Source organism: Homo sapiens, chromosome 4 (genome assembly GCF_000001405.40).
Source record: "Homo sapiens chromosome 4, GRCh38.p14 Primary Assembly".
NCBI lineage: Eukaryota > Metazoa > Chordata > Mammalia > Primates > Hominidae > Homo > Homo sapiens.
This window is the reverse complement of record NC_000004.12, coordinates 113049246-113065188: the sequence shown is the minus strand read 5'-3', so window position 1 is coordinate 113065188 and position 15943 is coordinate 113049246. Positions and strand designations below refer to the sequence as shown.

The 15943-nt window shown below is 35.9% G+C and overlaps 1 protein-coding gene across 57 annotated transcripts in view, besides 2 other annotated features; it reads right to left on the bottom strand.

The window, feature by feature from the left end:
- ANK2 (ankyrin 2) overlaps positions 1 to 15943 on the bottom strand; it is a 678115-nt gene that overhangs the window by 318548 nt on the left and 343624 nt on the right. For 12 of the 57 annotated variants that reach the window (NM_001354241.2, NM_001354225.2, NM_001354235.2 and 9 more), the window contains exon 1: positions 15377 to 15775. The exons of 43 other annotated variants lie outside the window; for them this stretch is intronic. In NM_001354241.2, coding sequence (NP_001341170.1) covers positions 15377 to 15460 — 84 coding nt within the window. In that variant the 5' untranslated portion in view covers positions 15461 to 15775. Of the gene's footprint in view, positions 1 to 15376; positions 15776 to 15943 lie in introns of those variants that run through there. 2 more of the 57 variants (NM_001148.6, NM_020977.5) reach the window with 1 other exon arrangement.
- Positions 481 to 1131: an enhancer, noted in NCBI's record as "OCT4-NANOG hESC enhancer chr4:113985214-113985864 (GRCh37/hg19 assembly coordinates)". NCBI's record gives its function as "activates a minimal SCP1, AML or CMV promoter by ChIP-STARR-seq in primed H9 embryonic stem cells {active_cell/tissue: H9 hESC(primed)}" and the evidence as "EXISTENCE:reporter gene assay evidence [ECO:0000049][PMID:30033119]".
- Positions 3852 to 4422: an enhancer, noted in NCBI's record as "OCT4-NANOG hESC enhancer chr4:113981923-113982493 (GRCh37/hg19 assembly coordinates)". NCBI's record gives its function as "activates a minimal SCP1, AML or CMV promoter by ChIP-STARR-seq in naive H9 embryonic stem cells {active_cell/tissue: H9 hESC(naive)}" and the evidence as "EXISTENCE:reporter gene assay evidence [ECO:0000049][PMID:30033119]".

Genomic DNA, 15943 nt, shown 5'->3' with positions numbered 1-15943 from the left:
TTCTAACATTTTTGTTAGAAGTTCTACAGAACTTTCTAACATTTTTGTTAGAAGTTCTACAGAACTTTCTAACATTTTTGTTAGAAGTTCTACAGAACTTTCTAACATTTTTGTTAGAAGTTCTACAGAACTTTCTAACATTTTTGTTAGAAGTTCTACAGAACTTTCTAACATTTTTGTTAGAAGTTCTACAGAACTTTCTAACATTTTTGTTAGAAGTTCTACAGAACTTTCTAACATTTTTGTTAGAAGTTCTACAGAACTTTCTAACATTTTTGTTAGAAGTTCTACAGAACTTTCTAACATTTTTGTTAGAAGTTCTACAGAACTTTCTAACATTTTTGTTAGAAGTTCTACAGAACTTTCTAACATTTTTGTTAGAAGTTCTACAGAACTTTCTAACATTTTTGTTAGAAGTTCTACAGAACTTTCTAACATTTTTGTTAGAAGTTCTACAGAACTTTCTAACAAGAAAATTAACTGTCATTTCATGACAACGATCTTAAAAGTTAAAATTGACTTCCCAAAGAACAACACGGGCCATACTTTGCACAATCGTTTGGACTTTCTTGACGTAAGGGTGGTTGGTACTTTTTCACAAAGCACACCACCACAAATTGAGCTCCTAGAGTGAGGTGGATAAGCAGGGCTGGCAGGTGGGGAGGGAAGGGGATTTCTGTCATGGGAAAACAAAAGGTGGCTATGTGCACTGTGGAATGCAGAGCCCCTCCTCCTTAATCCTGGCTGAATCCTGACTGGCACCACCTGCTGTTATGTGTATGCTCACAGAACAATTGGCACCTGCGTATGGTAAATACGATTAAAACAGACACAAAAACCTGTCATCACGGTAAGTCACACAGAGTGCTCTTGGGAGAGCTTAGTGTACACAGAGATGATGAGGTAGGTGGAAGGGATCTTTTTCTGCTATTAAACTTGAAGCAAAATGTATTTATGTTATATTCTAAAGGGCTTCAAATTCCTAAAAAGAAAAATTAATGAGGAAAAATTTCTCTACTATCAATGCTAGAAATCTTTAACACCTGTAAACAATTCAGCAATTAAACTGGACTGTATCACTAAAATTTCCAAAAATGACTTCCACTGGGAGGAGAGTCATTTATACATATCTGTTAAAAAGCAAACACAACAACAACAAAAAAATGTCTTTTTATGTTTATGGAAAAATCAAATTTCAGTTTGATGTTTTACGTCAACTCAAAAATAAAACATTATTTTAAAATCAGCTTTCCATAAATAATGTGGGATTTGAGACATCAAATGAAATAAAGAAGCAGGAAGGTGGTTTTTTTTATTGCAATCTAAATAACTTCAAATGTATTTAGTTGGACATTAGCAAGAATTTAAACAAAGTCTACTAAAAATAGTCCTGAGATCTGTTTTCAGCCTCACTTCTAAACTCACACTAAGAGTTCAGTTTCATTATCTTAGAATTTAAAAATGTATTTGTATGAGATAAAATATCATTTTTCATAATTCAGCTCTTTGAATTTTACATTTGCTGTTAATTCTCAAGTATTTTTCAAATTAAGTATAAAAATACCTACCTATAACTGCCAGCAGACTAAAATAATCTGTTACTATTATCATGCATGTGTATTACTATTTATAAGCTTATTTGGTCTTCCGTCTTCTACCAACTGAGAAAGTGTCCACATAAAATATACTAAATGTTTTCTGATTGTGGCAAAAAGCAATTCTTTTTATAGTGGAAAAGGGCAAATGCACATCATTAAAGAAATGCAAACCTTGACTAGACACAGAGAAGAAGGCAAATTCAAGTACCATATGTTTTCTGAGAAAGCAATGCTGAAATCCACCTTTCCAAGAATTTCTTATTTTAATAATGATTGTTACCAAGTATTCTCTTATCCACAATGTTGGCTGCAGGTATGATTTGAGAGCCCTTAATAAATGATAACCAAATGCTATCATTTAAAACACATAACAAATTTGGTGGTAACTTTTTCCATTATTTAGCAACACCCAAAGAGAATATTTGGCTCAAATACACACACTCATACACACACAGAGATATGAATATATATTCTACTGGATATCTTTTTACTAAATGTCATATTCAACTTTAGAATTTTAGATTCCAAATAGATATTACGCTGTGGAACATGAATTTTCAGTCAGCTATAACACAGGCACTTATCATCTGTCACCTAAATTGATATTAGCACCTCATTTCCTCAAGGTCATTTTAAGGTCAACAGACATAATTCCTTGTCATCATGATAGGCCCAGGGAAAATAATCAAATTAGTACAGTAATGTAGACAGAAAAGGCAAAATATTAATCCTATTATCAAATATCAGAGCTACATAGCCTATTGGACAAATAGTCAATAAATGTTTACTAGACAGCTGTGCTTGAAAAGGTGCAAGGGATCATTCTCACATACAGTAAACATTCAGTATACTGAAAGACCTAGCCAGCCATATCTGCGTAAGTATTAATCACTCCTGTGATGTAATTATTGGTGTCAAAAATGTTCTAGGAGGTCCATGTGGAACCATATATTCTTAGTGTATTGAATTATTCAAAACTGTTTACTTCTGCAATTCATAAAGTATATAATAACCTCTACCTACAATATGGCTCTTCTGGATGGTACAAAAAAGTGCAGAAAATCTTATATGAATATACTATAAAAGAGTGATATGTAGTCATACAGAAATATACAAAGAGCTATACAGCCAGAAAATTTAAGAATTTAATGAGATCCAAAATCATTGTTCATTGGTCACCTTGAAATAAACTTGAGACACCAATTCAAGCAGTAAAAATTCTAAAATGCACATTATTATTACTTTCATTTTAAAATATTAAACTGAAATGTACATGATACTTAAATTATAGATTAGGCCATATCATGATGGTCTCCACATGACCCTTGACACCTGAGTTGGAACAAAAAACTGCCAATAGATCCTGACATAGAGAGTTAAAAATCTACCCTGGGGAGAAAGAAGCCTGTTTGAATGTTTGGAAATTTAATTTATGGCTTCTAAATTAATAATTCTGCTTTAGACAAGAATCCAAACCCTGTACAGGGCATGGCCTTAGGTTTTTAGAATGAAGACAGTGTATAATAAAAAACTTTCTATGGCAACAGCAATTTTTTTTTAGTTGCTTTTCAAAATTTTTTTAATTTTTAATTTGTGTGGGTACATAATAAGTGTATATGTTTATGGGTTACATAAGATATTTTGATACAGGCATGCAATGCATAATAATCACATCAGGGTAAACAGGGTATCTATCACTTCAAGCATTTATCCTTTGTGCTACAAACAATCCAATTATACTCTTTCAGTTATTTTTAAATGTACAATTACATTATTTTTTACTATAGTCATTCTGTTTTACTAGCTAATACTACATCCTATTCATTCTTTTTAATTATTTTTTTGTGCGCATTAAACAACAGCAGTATTATTGAAGATACTTCAAATATCCAGGCAAATATAAATTGGAGTATGGTTATGGCAGTTTATCTTTTTTAAAAAATCCCCAAAGTTTATAAGCCATTTCCAAGAGCCTCATATCTAAAACTCAGAATAATGTAAGTGCGTGTGTACGTGTGTATGTAATTTTTTTAAATTATTGATGTTGTTATATAAGCAACCTACAAAAATTATCTCCTGACAGCCTTTTTGAAACGAAAAATTAATTGCTCCACAAAGGAAAACATACTTCCTTTAGCTAATATTCTGCTCATTTTGACAAACTATAAATAAAGGTTACCAAAAATAGTCATCCATTTAAATTATTACTGGGAAAAAGCAATCAGGGGAGGAGCTTTAGTCTCCCACTGGATGAGGGTCAGTGATTCAGAAAATTATTCCAACAGTAATTTTTTATCTGATCAAGGCGTTTTGTTACAGTAAGTGTAAGTTCCCCAACCACACCTAACCTGTTGCTAGTGCTCAAGAACTACCTTCACAAATCAAACATGGAAGCCACTTGGGGCAGGGTCATCTGGAAGAGGTACCAAGGTTCCAGATGGAACAGACCTCCTACCCATCCAAAAAAACAGTTTAAAGCACCAGTTTCTAGATGGGCCAGTAAACAAATGCCTGACTGCCCCATGTAATAGGCCAATCAGTCCTACTGGTTCTTTAACAACTGGAAAGAGGTCCCTGCTGTGTAATGAGATTATGGAGCACATGATAGATTAGTGACCTTTTGAATTAGGACAAGCAACATGAACTCACTAACAAATTCCCCCTTATATTAGAGAGGCTATGCTAAGGGTGTCAGCCATTTGACAAATACAGTTGAAGTGCAGATGGAAATACCAACTATAAAGCTTCATTCTTCAGTGTTCCACAGCTGAGTCTGAGAATTCACATCTGGCTTGAATATTCTGAAAGCATCTAATAATCTTAGTCAACAACTACATAAAAAAACTTTTCTAATTTGGATTTATACTTCTGTTTTAAACCGTATTTGGGAAAAAAAAAAAAAAAAAAAAAAGCTTTTTAGATTCATTGACCAATTGACCAATCAGCGAAGGCATATGAGTGAAACAGGTTTGGGACATAAACAAAACTCCTATTTCTTTAATTCTTAATCCTATTTGAATTGTGTAAAAGATTGTTGTATTCACATAGCACAGGGGTTTGGAGATAAGCAGAGTGGTCAGTTTGACCTGGGATAGCTCGTTTAGGAGCTATGTAGATTCAAGCAGGAAGGGTTTTTTTAAACCCATCTGGACATCAGTGTCATCTTTAATATGGAATCATAAACTATCTACTCATCACGTTATTGTGAAGATAAAATTAGATAATCTATGTAGAACTCTATGTAGACTGGCATGTAGATATACTAATCTCTCAATGAATATTAACTACTATTTATTATTATCATTGAAAAATGCAATTCCAATGGGATGAACTATTTTTTCTAATAAATAATTTTTCTATAAATAAATTGTTCCATTTATTTAACAAAACATCATGTGTTCAAACGGGTTTGATTGAGGTAGACTTCATCACAATGCCACAGAAGACCCCTATTTGACTGTCATTCTATTAGTATCATTTCCCCTCATATGACCTTCTAAAAAGGACCAGAATTCCTTCACACATTAGGAGATAAGTGACTCTGGGATAATCGCAGTGTGTTAATTTTGGTAACGTAGTTGGGTGTGCACACATCTGGCAGTACTCTGCTTTGCTGTGTCAGTTTGATCAGCTACTCTCTTCAGTTAAGAATGAAGTGTATGCCTTTGACACTAAATGAAGATAACTGGCTCTTATGGGATATTGGTGGCTAGATTAGCACTATGCCCTAAATAGCTAAGCATTCAAACCAAAATCCAGTCACCACTCATCCCCAAACCTCAGTATATGAACTTATTCTGAGTCTTGGAGTATAGTAATGTGTTACTCATGAACATTTTATCAATGCTATTTAAATGCTCTTTTCAGAATAATCTAAAATTATGGAAACAAATGGCTAATTCACATTAAGGCTCTTCATAGTCCCTACTATGAATCATAGACTGTGTGGAAAGTGTTGCCAATTTCTGAATTCTCAAAGTACAGTCTCTGTACTTTATTGGGACAGAGGAATGACCTATAAGAATGCCGTATGAACCATTATGATAACTCTTTCCTCTTCACATTGAACAGAACTGATGTTTATAGGCTATTTATACAGTCTCTTTTGAACACCTTTTCTACACAAATGATAATATGTGGTAGATCAAGCCAAGAATAAATCACGTAGACAATTATTAAACATATGTACTATAGTTCATGGCAACAACATATACATAGATCAAATTCATATGTAGGGCTAGTCTTCTGAATTTGACTGACTTCACAGAACACTGAAAGTATTTACTGTGTCAACTTTACAGAAAATACTATTTAAGCATGCCAGGCTATACACAATCTAATACAAGTTTAACTGAATGGGAGAACATTAAAGCAGACTGCTGTAATCTGAATGTTTGTGTCTTCCTCAAGATCCCTAAGTCGAAATCTAATCACCAATGCAATGGCTTTAGGAGCTGAGGCCTTTGGAAGGTGATTTGGCAATGAGGGCAGAGTCTTCATGAATGGAATTAGTGCCCATATAAAAGACGCCCCAGAAGGCTGTCTTGCCTTTTCCACCATGTGAAGGCACAGAGAGAAGGCATCATCTGTGAACCAGGAAATGGGGCCTTCATCAGACACCAAATCAGCTGATGGCTTGATCTTCAATTTCCTAGCCTCCAGAACTGTGAGAAATAAATTTCTGTTGTTTTTAAACTACTCACTCTAAGGTACTTTGTTATATCAGCCCAAAAGTACTAAGACAGACATTCACATTAATTTAATAGCAGTATGAATATCTCTAGCAGTTCTAATGGCATCTCTAAACTACTAAAATAATGGAAAGTATCTATACTTATTCTAATTTCTTTCCTTCCTGATTTTCATTTTAAATTATTGGCCATTGGGTGTATTGCCACCCCTCTGCACTTATTACAAGACAGTGCTATGGAGTAAGAGAGAAAGGCATCCCGCCACCATACCCTCTGAATTCTGGGCAAGCATTTAGAACATCTGAAAAAGGGATTCTTTAGGGATAAGCATTATACAAAAAGAGGACCAAAATCTTGACATAGAAAATACTAAATTTCTCATATATAGTTCTCCTAATGTTTTGAATTTAAGTTTTCATTTTTTTTAAACTAGAATACCTCCCACCTAAACTGGGCTCAATTGGCCACATAGAAATACTTATTATTAAGAATGTTGTCAAATATTAGAATTACAGTAACCATTATATTATTACATTAAAATACTTATAAAAAGGTACCACTTACTAGCACTGGGTGAAACATTCTAGAATGGTTCACAATTTCTTTTTAATTTCTTCCCATTTTTAGTATCGACACAGACCCTAACACTTAGCTCTGTTTCTATAGTTTTATTTCAAAAACACCCCTTTATTCCTTTAACTATGTGTGTTCTTTGAAGTGGCACTGGCTATAATTGTGCTTATTTTGTAAGTAGGATGTGAAAGGTGGCCAGAAGTGAAATGGTTGGTCATGAGTCACTCTGTTTGCCAGTTAAAATGGACAAAGAAGACTGCACAGAAACCTGTGGCCAGACCAGGAAATGGAAAGGAGGGGAAAGTCTCAAATTTCTTGTTCAAGGATCTGAAAATCCAACAGAAGATCCAGAGCAAACTCAAAGTCAGCCTGCAAAGTGGACTACCTTAGTAATGTTATACTAGCATAACATTATGATCACCAATAAAATAAAAACCCAAAGGGACAAACCAGTTTTTAGCTGCTATGCAAAGTATTATGAGTGCCTGTATAAGTGTTATAGATAATTGCAATCCTGGGTTATCCATACCAGCATCTCTTTCAGGTAAAGGCAGAAGGCTGAATATTTAGATACTTTCAAAAATTGTCCCTACTAGATTCGAATGTCTTGTTAATTTGGAGGCTTACTTATTGGAATTTACTACTGATTGCAGAAATAATCTATAAACAGAGATATGGGGCAAATTTTCACAGGTAAAATGAGTGATTAAACATATATATATATAATAGGAGAAGGACACAGGCTCAGTCATCAAAACAAGATGGATTCCAAAATGCAAGCTGCAGCTGGCTAAGGCTGAAAGCACAAGGACAACCATGTCAGAGTCCACTCACAATGGTTATGGCTCTGCACTGCAACAAATCACTCAACAGTTTCCTAATCTTTACTGTAATTTGGAATTATATGCCTGAGGCTGTTGCATCCAGAATGCCTGTGTATCCCCTTCCTTTATACTCACACATTAGCCATAACTTACGGCTCTGTACTACTGTTCACCCACTCATAGGGTTTACTCTTCTAACAAAATTACACTGATCTCTTGCCCTTCTACAGAATCCTGTAGAGTTTCTTTTTGGCAATTGCACAACATATTTATATTTTACTTATAATATGTGTGAGTATACCTATAATATTTCTGTAGATTGCTCATTACTTTTTTCTTAGATAGAAATGTCTGCTCAGATTATGAATTCCATGTAAGTGTCAATCATTGGCTTTTAGCCTAGCCATGCCATAGCACCTAACACAGTGCTATACACTCAGCAAACCAATACCAATTGTTGAATTGGGGGAACTTTCCCATGTGTTCGGAAGAAACACCTAAATTAAACTGAGCAAAACAAGCTGATTCTTAGAAACTGAATTTCATTAAGCAAATGCTAGAAATCAAGGTCTTTGTCTTAATGACTACAAACACAAATTAGTGTGTGGAAGAAGATGATAGTTGTCTGTGAGTTAACAGAAAAACATGAATAAAAACCAGGTCTCATGACTAAGAAGATGCTCACCCTGTAGACTGTGGTATATTATTATCTAGAACATATTTTCCCTTCTCCCTGCAGCTTTTTAAAAATGACCCTCCCTACGGGTTGGGATGTAGGCATGAATTTCAAAGAAAAAGAAATACTCTATCATATTTATTTGGTCTCGAGTACATAAAAATTTAAACTTTTTCTATCAAAAGATTGTCTCCCTGGGTAGCAATCCCATCTCTGCTCTATCTAGTAAAAGGAAATTGAAATGGTAACTTTATTTGTTGTGATGTATCCGACCAGTGTCCAATGAGATAAAAATAGGCAGTGATTTTGTTTCTGCCTCCAACAGGAATTAGAACAGAGTACAAGCAAGACAGAAGTAAAGCTGTAAGCATATTTATAATTTAGCATGCTCTGAATCAGGACAAGACAGAAACAAATACAGATTAAAATTTCAAGTCTATTTTAATGTGCAATCAAATGTCTCTTTAGAAACTTTATCAAGAAGGAAAAAGAAACCTCCAACACTTCAGAAAAGAGTGTATGGAAAAGAACTTTTAATAGAACAACTACTGAGAATATCATACTAACAAAATTTTCTCAAGAGAATAATTAGAGCTAAAATGGTGAAAGTAGGGTGAACTTTTTATGGTGGCTTAATTTAACATGCCTAAGCCACATGAAGGCAGCTGTTTACTTAAGTTTTGTTTCTTACATTTTTGTGAATTTTCAAAGTCCAACATGTTGTCTACATGGACTGATGGATACATCTACAACAACATAGCACAAAACATAATGGAAGCAAAAGAAGTTTCCCTTCTTTTGGGAATGCTGCTTGGGAGAGTATCATAGATAGCCATGAAAGAAGTTACTTTTCCATGTTATTCCCATAGATAAGAGTGAGCATTTTTGGAAATGTGATCAACTGACGCAAAATGGCAGCAACACTGGAAGGAAGAATCAGGAGGATATCTTAGAAGATAACCACAGAATCTTTGCAAGAGACACAGAAGACTACCTTACACCTGGTTTCCACAGGAGAAATGGCTCAAAATATGTTATTAGTTGAACAGTAGGAAAAATGTCTATGGTCTCTTCAGCACCATCTGTATGTAGTCTCTGAGTCTCCAGTTTCTCATCTATGAAACTGGGATAATAATATGCAATGAGAGTTATTCTGAAGATCAAATAAGATAGCATGTGAAAGCAGTTCTAGATTCCAGACATAAGAGTAAGATTAAAAGAAATGTTGTTCTCAATTTTCTTGTGTCATTGCTGCTGCCATCTAGACTTAAACAAATGTTACTGTAAGAGCCAAGTAATAAACTAACACATCTAATCAAAATTAAAGATTCTTCTTTCTAAGATAACTCAACTTCATGACTGTTGACCACATTCTAAGGCAATGGTTCCATTCATTTATTTATTTATCTATCTATTTATTCATTTATTTATTTATTTAGACAGTCTCACTGTGTCATGCAGGCTGGAGTGCAGTGGCAAGATCATGGCTTACTATGACCTCACCCTCGGGGGTTGGGTGTCCCCAGCAGTCCCCAGTAGCTGGGACTACTGGCATGTACAACCATGCCTGGCTAATTTTTTATTTTTATTTATTTTTTTAGATACAGGGTCTTGCTATCTTGCCTAGGCTGGTCTCAAACTCCTGGGGTCAAGCAATCCTCCTGCCTCAGCCTCCCAAAGTGCTGGGGTTACAGGTGTGAGCCACTGCACCTGGCTAAGACAATGGTTCTAAACTTGAGTATGCATAAGAAAGAGTTGGGAGCCTGTTAAAAATCCTCAAAGGTTCTGATACACAGCAGGTCTGAAGTGGGTCCTAAGAAGTGAATTATTTTAGCAGACAACCCAGGTAATTCTGGTAGTTGAGGTCAGCAGACAGCACTTTGAAATATGCTGCTCTAAAAAGGATAAATTAGTTATTACTAAGACATGAAATTATCAGTGAAAAAATTAATATCATAAAAGTGAGTAAATAGAAACAGAGAGGAAGACATTGAAAGAAAATCACAGAATACCAGGTTATAAGGTATTTTTCTTTCCAATAAAAATTTCCATCATCCCTGACAGATGGTCATTTTAAATACCTTCAGTGATGGGGAATTACTGTCTTCAGGCAACACATGCTATTTTGGGTTATAAGTTGGTATTTTATAAAGGGCAAATGGTAAGTTATTTGAAAGACTGAAGAAATAGGGATATTATTCAGAATAAATTATACATGGAAGCCTGTCTAGATATCAGTGAACTAGATAAGGCATCAACTTTAAATTCAAAATTAATTGACTCCAATACTATTTGGACACCCAAATGTTGGATCTACTACCTGATTTCACTAAAAAGGGCATAGTTTCTTTGGCTGCTATAAAAATAAACCTTTTAATATGTACCTCATTCACATTTCTATGGTACAACATTTTAACCACACATCTGGCAACACTTTCCTCCTTCATCTCTCTATTTAGGCAGTGGCCTAAACAGCCATTAAATATGTGTGTGTGTGTGTGTGTACCTTCAAAATATTTTGCAATGCTTATGAATATCTTAGTGATCCAGATCAAAGCATCTTCAATAAATATAAGGTATCCTATAAAGCCATTTTATCCTACTACTCTGTTGAAAATAATGGTGCTGATATTTTATTTTTATCTTCATATCATTATTCCACTAAATGGGAAAAACAGTTAGTAAACCATTTACTCATGTACTTGTTTTAGAAGAACTCACAAGCCTAGTGGTTTCAGATGGCTGTCACCTGTGATTGATGCTTGGGCATTCCCATTTCCAATTATGTAAATTACCAAAATCTCCTACAGCCTCTTTTAGTATAAATCCACTGCTATGTTATTGCTACAAAATTGGAAAGTGTGTGGAGCTGCACACAAAAATATGGTCTTGGATTATTTTAATCTAATCTGTCAAAATAGTGGAATAGTGGAATAAGTTTTATAGTCTCATGCCTGTAATGCCAGCATTTTGAGAGGATGAGAGAGAATTGCTTGAGACCAGGAGTTCAAGACCAGCCTGGGTTCCTTAGGGAGACTGTCTCTACAAAAAGTTAAAAAAACAAAAATAGCCAGCTGTGGTGGCACATGCCTGCAGTCCCAGCTACAAGGGAGGCTGAGGCAGGAAGATCGCTTGAGCCAGGTGGGTTGATGCTGCAGTGAGCCATGATCACACCACTGTACTCCAGCCTGGGTGACAGAATAAGACCCTGCCTCAAAAAATATAAAAATCTTTATAGAGTTGTCTGGGATTTAGAGTAGGCTCAAAGCTGTCTTACACGGATACATTTCACATAGCTACCAATGCTTCTTTTTAGTCCTGGATTCCAGTTGAGAATTAGAATAGCCCCCATTTCCTCTTCGCCACTGAACCACCACTAGAACATCAATCCCAAATCTGCACCTTGGGCAATATCTGTTAGTATGAAATATCTTGGCCCTAAGAAAACTTTGTTGGAAGTATCAGATGAAGGTTTTCATGACTACTTTAACAACATTACTACCTACAATTTATTTTCTTTGGGTACTAAAGAGTATCCAATAATAAACAAGTCTTTCTCTCTCTCTCCAAAGGTATCTTTGTGTTCAAGCTGGAGAATGAGAAAGGCAGCCACTGACCCACAGGAGGGGGCCTGGTACTATCAGCTAGGCCTCAGTGTTCTCCTATTGAACATAAAAAATTTCTCAAAGCATCAGCATCAGACAAGGCCACTCTGACCATGACAGAGTAAAACCAAAACAACACCACTCCCATATCATGTCTGAACACAGACAAAACAAAGACGTTGTCCAAGACACAAAATACCAAACATCTCCCTCTCTTGCCAAATGAGATTACTGCCTCCTTACAACTATAGCTTTAGTAACGCTCTAGCCTGTTCTCCTGTAGATAAGACTTACTGGGATACACAATCGTAGAATTGTTCCTGCTTTCTGGGAGTACCCCATCCCCAGAGTGAGCCACCAGTCTCTTGAACCCTCTTTCAAATTACTCAACTGAAGCCCGTATCCTGTGCATTCTTCCTGGCACCCGTTTACTGAGATGCCCCCACGGTTCCCCATGATGTGTATCCTCCTCGCGGCAATGAGTCATAAACCCATCATGTTCAACCACCAGTGTACTCCTTGTGGTTTCTGAGTGGAGAGCACCGACAAGCTCCCTTACTGAAGCCAAAATAGACAACCTTAAGTAAAGCTCAAAGAATTTCTATTCTCAACACACTCAGTAAAATTTTGACATAAATAAATTCCTCCTTGAGCTTGTTTTCTCACATTGTAGGTCTGGTGGCAAAAGACCCTTTAGCTCTGTCCCTCAGAAGAGGTACTTTTGGAAGGTACAGAATAAACAAGTAAATTACAGCCCATCTGTTACGTATTTACTAGAGATAGACGCATGATTTCAAGGAATATGATTCAGTAGGATAGATCCACACCCAGGCCATAGTGAGCTTGGTGGTCCGTAGTCCTGGATGCTTAAGTAGAATCCCACAGCAGATTCAATGTAAACCTCTAGTAGAAAAACAAACAACCGAATTGAAGTGATGTGACATTGACTTTACTCCAATTTTTGCTTTCTCAGCTTTTATGCTTATTAGGGATACTTATCTCTTTATCATTAATGTCCTCATCAAGGCACATTTAATGGTCTAGTGTTTAAATATGAAAATGTAAGTTTCTTGCTGTGCAAAATAATGTGAAACAATAATATAAAGACCTAAGGTACATTTATGTAAATCTCAATGATTTTTTGAGATAAAAAAGTTTCCAATTATAGCATATAACTTTTGACATTTTGAAAAATGACTACTAGCCTTTGCAAAGCACCAATATTGGATTCTGTCATTTCTGCCTCTCTCAAAAGTATAAACAGATTTTTCTCTTAAAAGGCTTATTGCAATAAACAAATTCCATTTAAGAGAATAACACCTGAAAGTTATTGCCATTGACTATATGTTTTAAATACTGTTCAAATAATCATATATACATTATTTCTAATCCTCATAAAATATTCTATATATAATTATTCTCATTTTACAGATGAATCCCTGGATTCATTAAATGAGAAATTAAATGATGTGCTCCAAACACACAAAATTAAAGGGTAGAACTGAGATTCAGACCCACTTATGTCTGACTGACTAGGCAAGCTGAGGGATGTGTATGTGTGTGTTTATGTGTGTGCGTCCCCTAATCTATTATGTAATTAGCATTTTTTTCAAAAGCAATTTCTTTTAGGTGAAACTCCTTTTAACACTCAATATTCATGGTGCTCTGACACACACATTCAAAACTTGCTCTTTCATTTTGGATGCAAGTTTGGAAAAAGACTTACTCCTAAAATAAATTTATTTGAGAAAATTCAGCTTAAAGATATGATAGTTATTACATAGGATGATTTCGTTGTCTCTACCTCCTCAAAGACTTTAAAATGGCTTTGGTCATGTGAAGTTAGTATCATCATTCAGAGCTCAAAAATCTCAAGATTCATTCTCCACCCCTTTAATAGTCCTGAGTATATTGTTTCTAAAGCACCACAGGGACTTTAGAGAGAAAATACGGGATTTTGAAATGATAATGTGAATTAAAACAAAAATTCCTTTTTTTCTTTCTTTTTCCCTCTCTCTTGCTTGCTCGCGCTCTCTCTTCTATTTTCTTTTTCTTTTTTTATGTTGTTCAATTAGCTAACACTCTATAAAAATGCCCTCAAGGTCTAGATCTGGAATGCTTAGGTACAAAAGGAAAAGGACATTCTACCAATGTTCCTGCTTGCCCTGAATTATCCTTTTGCCTGTTATCAGATTGTATCACTATCTCTACGCTATGATTAAAAATCATCACATGCTTATTTCTATCAAATTGCATGATACCATACAAATATACTACTCCCTTGTTTGCTGATACAGTGATCTTTTAAATATCAGAGGTTGCAAATTATTTACAATCTTTAGATTATAAAACATTTAGTACACTAGACATCTAGAATTTTGAAACACAATGCAACTTCATTAGCAAAATGAAAAATATTCATTTGTTCATGCTTATTATTTTTTGCAATCTGCTTATTCAAAATCCAAAACCATCTAATGTTGAAAGCCATTTACATTACAATCATATCTAATATCCTGCCCATATTATTGCTCCAGGAAATAAATGCATTTTAGGAGAATTTATTTATAGAGCATCTCTTTCAGAGGTGAGGCTCAGGGAAGCTCTGTGAGGCTGCAACAGTTTACCAGAAGGAGTCAGGCCATAAAGAAAGAAGTGCTGGCATTGGGTGGGGCTGAATAGTTTGCATCTTTTCCCACTGTTTCTCGCTGCTATCATTTCCATGAAAATCGAGGGTGTGGGAATGTATGCCACAGTAAGAAATCCTACAGACTGCTTTGTGTGCCCAAGAGCCCCCACCCCATAACATCTTTAGCTGTTTTTCTTATTATTGAAAGAGCTATCACACTAATGTCTGGGAAAACTGCAGAGGAGCTAAGCAAGCCAAAGAAATATCATGCTGGGGATGATATTTCTCCTGTCACAGCAGTCTTTTCTCCTTAGGAGGAATACACTTAGCATGAAACCAAAAGGCTTTTGCTGTCTAGCCATCTCAGGATCATCATAGAGCAAACGCATCTGGCCAAAAATCTGCCTTTTGCTTCACAATCCACGTTGCTTAACACTCTTCCTTTTACACACTAAAAATAAAACGACTCTCTCTACCCAGTTAACACCAGAAGAATCCATCAGTGGCCACGGTCCTCAGTAATCCACATGTGGAACACACCTTATCTCTATTCACTTCACCATGCTCCAGTCAGTGTATCCATTATGAGCCATGGCTCCTTTACTATTCTCAAAAAGCAGCAGTTTGCACCTGCCTCTTTAAAAAGCAAGGCTTGGCACTGTTATCGTCTACAGTTACTCATAATGCTCCACGGTTTCCATAGCCTTGCTGATATTACACACTCACACATGCACACACATACATATTTATACACAGACATTCCTAATTCCGGCGATTTACCTTCTTGGGTCTTTTTCTCCTCTGACTACTGCCGTTGAACTTCTCTCCACTGTCGCTTTTCTGAGCTGCATCTTCGTTCATCATTTTGAACAGTTTGGAAAGAAAATATCTCTGCCATCAAACCGTGCCGCCTGTACAGACCACTAGCGGGTATGCACTTACTGGAGGAAAGCAGGAGGAGGAGGAGGGGTGGGGAAGGGGCGCGCACTGGGAGGGTAAGGACGGTGACGTTGCCATGGCAGCAGCTGCCACAACTGTTTATCTGACTGCATTGTTAAATCTGATTCAACCAATTACCATCAGGAACCGGTTACAATGAAGAAAGCCTTGAAAAAAGAATGCCAGGGACTCGAATGATTTGGGGACTCTGCTGGTTGGTTTCTGACACACCCTTGATAGGATCAGCTCTCAACCTACACACAAAACCTGTACTTAATTTTCTTCCTACAGGTACTTCAACACGGAACAGATACAATGCATAATGAGAAAACTGTAACATTCTAGAATGTGTCTCTGAACCTGAAGAGGTACATTTAGCCAGTCAAGAGGCTACTTAAGGAAAAGGAT